Source organism: Homo sapiens, chromosome 9 (assembly GCF_000001405.40).
Source record: "Homo sapiens chromosome 9, GRCh38.p14 Primary Assembly".
Lineage (NCBI taxonomy): Eukaryota > Metazoa > Chordata > Mammalia > Primates > Hominidae > Homo > Homo sapiens.
This window is the reverse complement of record NC_000009.12, coordinates 4755145-4764472: the sequence shown is the minus strand read 5'-3', so window position 1 is coordinate 4764472 and position 9328 is coordinate 4755145. Positions and strand designations below refer to the sequence as shown.

Here is a 9328-nt window from a genome sequence, read left to right as displayed (position 1 = left end):
GGATGTGTGTACACACATACACAAAATCATACATGCATTTACCCTTATATTTCTCTACATACGTAATAAAATATGGATCTTATTAGTTTGTTTATTGAAAACCATGACTTCATACCAATACTTCTCATTCCAACCTAACACAGTTTTCATTCTAGTTTTCTGTCCATAATTTATTTTTTTGAGATGGGGTCTTGCTCAGTTGCCCAGGCTGTAGTACAGCCTCAATCTCCTGGGCTCAAGTGATTCTCACACCTCAGCCTCTTTCCTTGAGATGGCATACAGGTGCATGCCACCACACCTGGCTAATGTTTTCTTAATTTCTGTGGAGACGGGATCTCGCTATGTTGACCAGGCTGGTCTCAAACTCCTGGCCTCAAACAATCCTTCTGCCTCAGCCTCTTAATGTGGTGGGATTACAGGAATGATTTGTTAACTGTCTTCTCCAACAGCGAGAAACTTTGCTCCCATTATCCTTAATATTGTACATTTACATACATGTCCTTGGAGATACCTTTCTCTCCCCACTGGGACTCCAACACCCTGTGGCAGACTGCCTCTCTGCCGGGACACCCCTCACCACAATTGGGTTCTGACACTCTGGCCTGGACTTGCCCCTGAATGTATGCTTTCTGATCCTGGTCAGGTTCCGGCCACCACAGCTCACCTCCACCCCACTCATAGCTGCCTATCTTGCTCGACCCTGCACCTGATGACTTTTGCACCTGATTTTTCAAGGAAGGAAAAGAGGAACTATATAGCTTTTCTCTTATTACTTTTAAGCACTTCCATTTCATTTATACTTGGTCATTCAGAAATTAAGAGTTATTTCTACCATGCACTATTCTTAAACTCTGTGATGCCTTTAAAGAGTGCCTCTTCAGTGAGACTGGGTCTATGCTGAGAGTAGAGGTCCTGCCTCCTCCCCCTTTTTCCTGTCCACCACATTCCTCTGTCTGCCCAGAGTAGGGAAGGCTGCAAACCCTCCCCCCGCCTTCCTCCTAGGAGGTCGCTGCCTGAAAGCTCTGTCCTGCCCGGAGGAAACCAGCTCAGCCTCCAGCTCTGGCCTGGCCTGATAGTCTGCCAGTAGCCAGGCCAGCTCTATCAGTTCTGTGCACGGGGATGCCCTGCGCGGAGGGGAGGGAGGAGGGGGAGAAAGAGTTGCCCGTGGGGCCTCAGGCCTTTGCTGTGCCTCAGTTCCCACACCTCAGAAGAATAAAGTACTCAACCCAGAAGAAAGACTCGGGCTTCCAGACTTTGGTTTGTGAGAGCAACGACATTCAAGGGTTACTCACGTAGACATTTAACAACCCGTAAAGGGAACTGGATGACAGAAATTACAGGATGGCTCCACCCTCGCGAAATGACATATTCATTTGAATGCTTGGGTAATTTCACAACAGGCAGTGCTGGTGGGGAGCAGGTTTTCCTCACTGAAGATGGAAATAAGGGTAATTGCTAATTTCCTTCCCCTGACCTTCATGACCTGCCCAGCTGTCTGCTGCCACCAGCCTCCTTCCACGGCTTTTCTTGTCTAAGGCTTCATGCCTTAAGAAATCAATTTACTCAGCTTTGTTCTGGGCCAGGTGAGAAAAAAAAATCAATGTATTCATACAAGTGGGACAATTGCAAACAAACGGAGTAAGAAAAAATAAATTCAGTTATGTAGTATTTGAGGCTTGAATTCGAGTAAATCAACCAAACTTCCTCCTCGCTTCAGGTAAAAGCATTTGTTGTTGACACAGCGCCACCTGATGGCAACTGGAATCTTGGCAGGAAATAGTCACCTGTCATTCCAACGTTATGCTGCTCATTTCACCTTTTTGTGTGTGTGTGTGTGTGATGGAGTCTCGCTCTGTCGCCAAGGCTGGAGTGCAGTGGCATGATCTCGGCTCCCTGCAACCACCGCCTCCCGGGTTCAAGCGAGTCTCCTGCCTCAGGTTCCTGAGTATCTGGGACTACAGGCGTGTGCCACCACGCCCAGCTAATTTTTTGTATTTATAGTAGAGACGGGGTTTCACCGTGTTAGCCAGGGTGGTCTCGGTCTCCTGACCTCGTGGTCTGCCCGCTTCAGCCTCCCAAAGTGCTGAAATTACAAGCGTGAGCCACCGTGCCCAGCCATCATTTCACACTTTTTTATTTTTAAATTTCAGTTCCCTTTCAAGCTCTAGACTCTTTCATTCAGAGTCCATTCTCTGTGTGCTTATGGTAGATGCTAAAGGTCTAAGAAAATATGACCACTTCCTGTCTAGTGTGGTGGCTCTCAAACTTGACCTTGCTCAGTTGCTCAGGCTGGAGTGCAGTGGTGCAATCTCGGTTCACTGCAGCCTTGACCTCGTGGGCTCAGGTAATCCTCCTGCCTCAGCCTCCCAGGTAGTTGGGACCACAGGCGGGAGCCACTATGCCTGGCTAATTTTTGTTTTGTTTTTGTTTCGTAGAGACAGGGTTTCGTCATGTTACACATACTGGTGTTGAACCCCCGGACTCAAGCAATCTGCCCGTATAGGCCTCCCAAAGTGCTGGGATTGCAGGCATGAGCCATCGCCCCTGGCTGAGAAAGTTTTAAAATGCAGACTCCTAGGCTCTGCCCTGCAAAGACTCGGAGTTGGTGGGTCTGGGGTATGTCCCAGGAGCTTGTGTTTAAACTCCTCAGGTGATTCTGAAACAAAGAGTTCACAAATAACATGTTGAGAGGAACTAAAGATGGAGAAGCAGACTGGAATTTGCAGTCTGGAATTGTTACTGCAATGTAATCTGGCAAATGCCACAAAGTATGAACAGGTCTGCTAGGGACACAGAGAAGGGATGCCTAATCAGACTAAGGAAAAGAATAGAGAAGGCTTCCCAGAAGGTAAGACTCTAGATGAATAAAAGTTGGTGAGATGAAGAAGGGGAGCAGGGGAATCATACATAGGGCATAAAATATGGAAGTTAAGAGGGCATGAAACTCCATGGGCCCTGAGAGCAGTGTGGGAGGCTGGAAGGAAGGAGAATGTGGCAGTGTCAGAAAATGAAGGGCCTGGGGCCAGGGACAGTGGCTCACATCTGTAATCCCAGCACTTTGGGAGGCCAAGGCAGGAGGATTACCTTGAGGTCAGGAGTTTCAAGACCAGCCTGGCCAACACGGCAAAACTCTGTCTCTACTAAAAATACAAAAATTAGCCAGGTGTGGTGGTGGGCGCCTGTAATCCCAGCTACTCGGGAGGCTGAGGCAGGAGAATCACTTGAATCCGGGAGGCAGAGGTTGCAGTGAGCCAAGATAGCACCACTGCACTCCAGCCTGGGAGACAGAGCAAGACTCTGTCTCAAAAAAAAAAAAAAAAAAAAAAAGGGAAAACGAAGTGCCTGGAATACCAAGCTATCTTTCTCCCCAAAGATCCAGGGAATGCAGAAATTTTAAGCAGGAGAATGACTTGAGAAGATCTGCATTTTTGGAAGATCTCTCTTGGCAGCAATGCTGAGGGTGCAGGACATCCGGCTTGGGTGATCAGATGTCATTTTCTAAGAGTATACAGAGGGAGGGACAGGGTTGGGGGCAGTGGGTCAAGGAAGAGTAAAAGGGACACAAAAGGGAGCCTGGGCACGGTGGCTCACCCCTAATCCCAGCTACTTGGGAGGCTGAGGCAGGAGAATCGCTTGAACCCAGGAGGTGGAGGTTGCAGTGAGCTGAGATTGCACCACTGCACTCCAGCCTGGGCAACAGGGTGAGACCGTGTCTCAAAAAAAGAAAAAACAAGAGACACAAAGGGAAAGAGGAGGCCAGGCATGGTGGCTCATGTCACAGGAGGAAGAAGTTCAAGAGATCCATGGAGACTGTAGTTAGTAACAATGTATTGTATACTAGAAAATTGCTAAGAGAGTGGATTTTAAGTGTTCTCACCACACACAAAAAGAAATGTGAGGTAATGTATATGTTAATTAGATTGATTTTGCCATTCCACAATGTGGACGTATATCAAATATCATGTGGGACACCATAAATATATACAATTTTTATTTGTCAGTTAAAAAATTTTGAAAGAGCAATCATTTTAGAGTTTTCCCAGCTTGTAGCCATGAGGGGTTACATGGGTGTCTTTATGTCCACAAGAAGAGCGGCACTGAGTAGGCAAAAGGACAGGTGCCCAACCCACAGCTTCTGCTTATTCCCTTCCTTCCCCTTGACCAAGCTGAACTTACAGCCTGACCACAGAATGACCCAACAAAGCTAAATTTAATTGTGTTTGGAACCTAGGAGCAGACTCAATTTGATTTCTAAACCTCCCGAGAGAAGCAGTGTACCCAAGGCCATCTATCGTGTGGCATGGATAAGGGAGTCTGTCTTCTCTCCTTTTGTCAGGGAGTTCTGGGGTCTGTGTTCATTTCCCAGTTGTCCTTGACAACCCTGTTTTATGCTGGACAGCAGAGTGGGAAAAGCACTGGTCAGGAACCAAACGAATTACCGAATTGTCTGACACTGTCGCTTAAGCTGGCTGTCTCTGTTTTCTGTCTGTAGAACAGGGATAATAGAGCCTGCCCTTAATCATTGCGTGGTTGGTCTAAAGGGTGAAATGAGACAGTGCTCTCGAAACTGTGAAATGTGCCAGGAGCGATGGCTCACGCCTGTAATCCCAGCACTTTGGGAGGTGGTGGTGAGTGGATCACTTGAGGTCAGGAGTTCGAGACCAGCCTGGCCAACATGTTGAAACCCCGTCCCTACTAAAAACACAATAATTAGCCAGGTGTGGTGGCCTGCACCTGTTATCCCAGCTACTTGGGAGGCTAAGGCAGTGAGCCGACATCGCGCCACTGCACTACAGCCTGCGTGACAGAGACTCCGTCTCAAAAAAAAAAAAAGAAAAGAAAAGAAGAAAAGAAAAAAGAAAAAAAATAAACACTGTAAAACGAATATAAGATAGGCCCTACAACTAGGAGCTGCGTTACCGGAGTTAGGTCGGGAGAAATAATGCAGGAATGGCGCCCCCTTCTGTGCGGCGCAGGAACTGCAACACACGCTGGCGGCAGCCTTCATCCCTGGTGGGGTCCGAGCCTCAGGCATCTCAGGGAGGGGACCTTGAGGGGAGGGTGGCATAGAACCAGAGGGAAGTCATAAAACTGGGCCTGGCATCTTCACAGCAGCTTAGAATTCTCAACCATGACCTTCTATGCCCACTTCGGGACTCCATTAGTCACAGTGGGTCTTTCCTGCAGGAGACTCCAGCCAAGATATTTAGGCCAGATGATTTTTTTTTTTTTGAGTTTCGCTCTTGTTGCCCAGGCTGGAGTGCAATGGCACGATCTCGGCTCACTACAACCTCCACCTCCTGGGTTCAAGTGATTCTCCTTCCTCAGCATCCCGAGTAGCTGGGATTACAGCTGTCCACCACCACGCCCAACTATTTTTTGTATTTTTTAGTAGAGATGGGGTTTTACCATGTTGGCCAGGCTGGTCTCGAACTCCGACCTCAGGTGATCCACCTGCCTCGGCCTCCCAAAGTGCTGGGATTACAGGCGTGAGCCACCGCGCCCAGCCTAGCTTCTAACAGAGTTTATTACTTTTCTTTTTCTTTTGTTTTCTTTTCTTTTTTTTTTTTCTGGCCAATTGACGCTTCTGTGGACCTAAAAGGAAGAAGCTGAGGCGAAATTAATATAGAGAGTTTATTGGGGTCAAGGTTGAGAACTGCAGCCTGGGACACACTTTCAAGTTGCCTTGGAGAGTGCTCCCAAGAACAAAAAGAGAGCCTCGAATGTTTAAAGAATATAAGACGAATCAGGAGAGGGGGCAATTACAAAATTGATCATTAGGATTTCTCATTGGCTTACAGAAATAACACTGATTAGTGATTGGCTAGACTTTGTTGAACTATAGGGTGTATGGCATTTCATGGCTAATTGGCATCAGTTAGTCTAGAGTCTTCATAGCAAGAGACTTCAAGAGATCATTATTCAGCTCGAGAAGGAGTGAGATGTGACTGCAGTTACATCCCAATGCCTCTCTGGGCCTGATAATGTAAAGGGGTTCATATTTCTCAGATTAAAAATTTATCTTTTATCAGTGACTTGCGCCTGTAATCGCAACACTTTGGGAGGCCAAGGCAGGCAGATTGTTTGAGCTCAGGAGTTTGAGACCAGCCTGGGCAACATGTCAAGACCCCACCGCTACTAAATTAGAAATTAGCTGGGTGTGGTATCAGGCACCTGTGGTCCCAGGTACTGGAGAGACTGAGGTGAGAGGATCACTTGAGCCCAGGAGGTTGAGGCTGCAGTGAGCCATGTTTGCACTGAGCGGGGTGACAGAGCAAGACTGTCTTAAAACAAACAAACAAACAAACAAAACCTTTTCTTTTCCCTCCACACTTGATAAGAATGGTTTTTCACCTGCTTATCCACAAATTCCATGCCATTCTCAGGAAAAGTGAATTACAAGCCTGAAGCAAAACTGCAAAGAGGGCAGGGTTTGTCTGGAGGCTCCTTCCCCCACTTTCTGTACAGGAGTTTTCTTTGAGAGCATCATGAGCCAAGAGCCAGATTATTCTGGATTCCTTTCCCATCCCATCCAAATCCCAACCTCCCTGTGCCCAAAGCATAGTGGCTCTGCTGTCTGCTGTGACTAATATGATTAATTAACTTTTAAAAAGTTATTGCTAGGTGACAATATCTTAATGTGCTAATGTATTTGTCTTTTAATAGCAGTCTTTAAAAACTGGAGCCAAAGATGGGGGATAGAGGTAAAGAGAAGGATAATTTCAATGTCATATTACACAATTTGTCTGAAGAGATTATTTGTATACAAGGCCCTCCATTTACATAATGATAAGGCATGCCAACAACAGGAGCCTCACTGTCCCTCTGAGACAGGCATGATCTTCATTATGCTATTGAGACAAGCGTGGATCAGAAAGGTCAAGTGCTTGCCAGGGTCTGTAGAACTAATTAGTGATGAAACCAGGATGAGGACTCAGCTACCTTAGGCTAATTTGCACTTCATTTCTTTGCCACCTTATTCTACTGTGAGAGAATATTTAATGAGGTGGAAGTTGCAAATATTGACTGAAAAGAGACACTGTTTTTTTTTTTTGTCTGCAGATTTACATTATCCTTTGCTTTGTTTTTTTTTTTAATAACACTTGTCACTACATTGAAAAGATGGTGGGAAGGAAGGAGAGAAGAAAAGATAAGCAGAGCAAAAAAAGAGAGGGAGCAACCAGTATATACCTAGCATTTTACATATGCGACATAAAAATTATAAGAGGTCACTGTTTTAGACTAAGTTTCTGCACTAGGCCCCAGCAGACCAGACTAAAAAGAATTTCCACATCCATGTCACCAAACCCAAACTAAATTGTTATCTGACCTTCCTAGAAATCCGAAGAAAGAGATAATAGCCAATTTTCCAAATAGGCCAATCTTCAATTGGCAGGATAATGAAGTGCCTTCTGCTTTAATTCCTACCTAAAAGAAGTAGCCTGCAGTAACCTGATGTTAGCTCATCAGTTATTTTTCTATTGTTCTGTCTCCTCCTCACAGGAAAGCAGCTTTGCAATGCCTGATACACACCGTTCTTTGCCTCTGCTTTCTTCACCTTTCCCTGTCTGTAATTCAGCCCTTTCTCAGCTCCTAGAACACTTATTCTGTTTTACAGAATGAAGTGTTGTCCGACTCTAGAATCACAATTAAAACCAGGTGAGCTCTTTAAATTTGCTGTAATTTTGTCCTTTGACACATATATAATCTTATTTAAATCTTGCAACAACCCCATAGGGCAGGTATTATCCTTCCCCTGTTTCATAGAGGCAGGCTGGTGAAGCTAAAAGAGGTTAATGATTTTGCTCAAGGTCTCTCAGCCTGTGAAAGTCAAACTCAGCTGTGTGTAACTGCAGATCCTGTGATCCAGGAAACTCTTGAATTTCAAGGAGGACGATTACCCTCATGGGAGTAAATGATTACCTTTGTAAACCAAAAATAAAATCCTAAGCTTCCCAGCTGACGGATTGGACTCTTTCTTGGCCAAGAGAAATCTGAAAAACTGAGTCCCTGGCCATGATGGGATGGGAGGTCAGGCGCGCCTCATTATACTCCCTCGCTTTTACAGTTTAGACACAACAAATGCGCAGCATTCATGTTAAAATAGAGATCATGAAACTTAACAAGAGGGACTCTTTGTGAAAATAAGATACCAAATTATAAACAGGACCTGAGGCTATGCCCGACAAGGGTTAAGTCACAAACCCCTGCAGGTCACTCTGACCCAGACTTTCTTGACTTAAATGTTCCTTTCTGTGGACTTCAAATTTTTAGACAAACCTTTACTCCTTTAACCAATTCCAATTTTTCTTTTTCTTTTTTTTTTCTTTTTTTTGAGACAGGGGTCACTTCATTACCTAGGCTAGAGTGCAGTGGTGTGATCACTGCAGCCTTGACCTCCTAGGCTCAAGTGATCCTCCCATTTCAGCCTCCTGAGTAGCTGGGACTACAGGCACATGTCACCACACTAATCTAATTTTTAAATTTTTTGTAGAGATGGAGTCTCACTAGATTGCCCAGGCTGGTCTTGAACTCCTGAGCTCAAGCCATCCTCCTGCTTTGGCCTCCCAAAGTACTGGGATTATAGGCATGAGCCGCTGTACCCAGCCCAATTGCAAATTAAAGAATATCTGAGTCCGCCTATGACCTGTAAGCTCCTGCTTCAAGATATCTCACCTTTTCAGGCCAAACCAATATATATCTTCCATGTATTGGTTTGTCTTTACCTGTAATCCCTGTCTCCTTGAAATGTCTAAAACCAAACTGTCACCAACTACCTTGGGCTCACTTCCTCAGGACTGCTTTGCGGCTGTGTTTCCAGGGGCCATGGTCACACATATTGGTTCAGATTAAACCTCTTTAAAACATTTTACAGCTTGTTTTTTTTTTCTGTTAACACATTATACGTGGGATCTGGGATAGAAATGCCCTGTATGGGCCACAGCCTGTGAATTAATGGGGCATTAATAGGATAACGTGATGTCTCATTTCTGGAGGGAAGTCAGTGCTATGGTGGGGGAAGTTTTGTATCAGAGGACAAGCAATGCCTCAGGCTAAGAGAAACTAACCAAGGAAGTATGCTTTATGGCCAAGGTTACGGTATCTGACATCTGTCAGGAATGCCAAAAATAGATATGTGAGATTTGTAGAAAATTCCAAGAGAAAAAACTTCAGAACATGGGTTACCTCCATTACAAAGGAAGCCACTACCTGTACTTAGATTTCTATGAGCTAATCAGAGAGCAGTCACAATTTATAAAAATAGAACTGGTCATTACACAACCAGTTTCATTTGTTTTATTTTGCCTTTGACTTTCAGGAGTTGCTT

The 9328-nt window shown here is 45.2% G+C and overlaps 1 annotated feature.

Annotated features, from left to right (window-relative positions):
• Positions 606-1544: an enhancer, noted in NCBI's record as "H3K27ac-H3K4me1 hESC enhancer chr9:4762929-4763867 (GRCh37/hg19 assembly coordinates)". NCBI's record gives its function as "activates a minimal SCP1, AML or CMV promoter by ChIP-STARR-seq in naive and primed H9 embryonic stem cells {active_cell/tissue: H9 hESC(naive and primed)}" and the evidence as "EXISTENCE:reporter gene assay evidence [ECO:0000049][PMID:30033119]".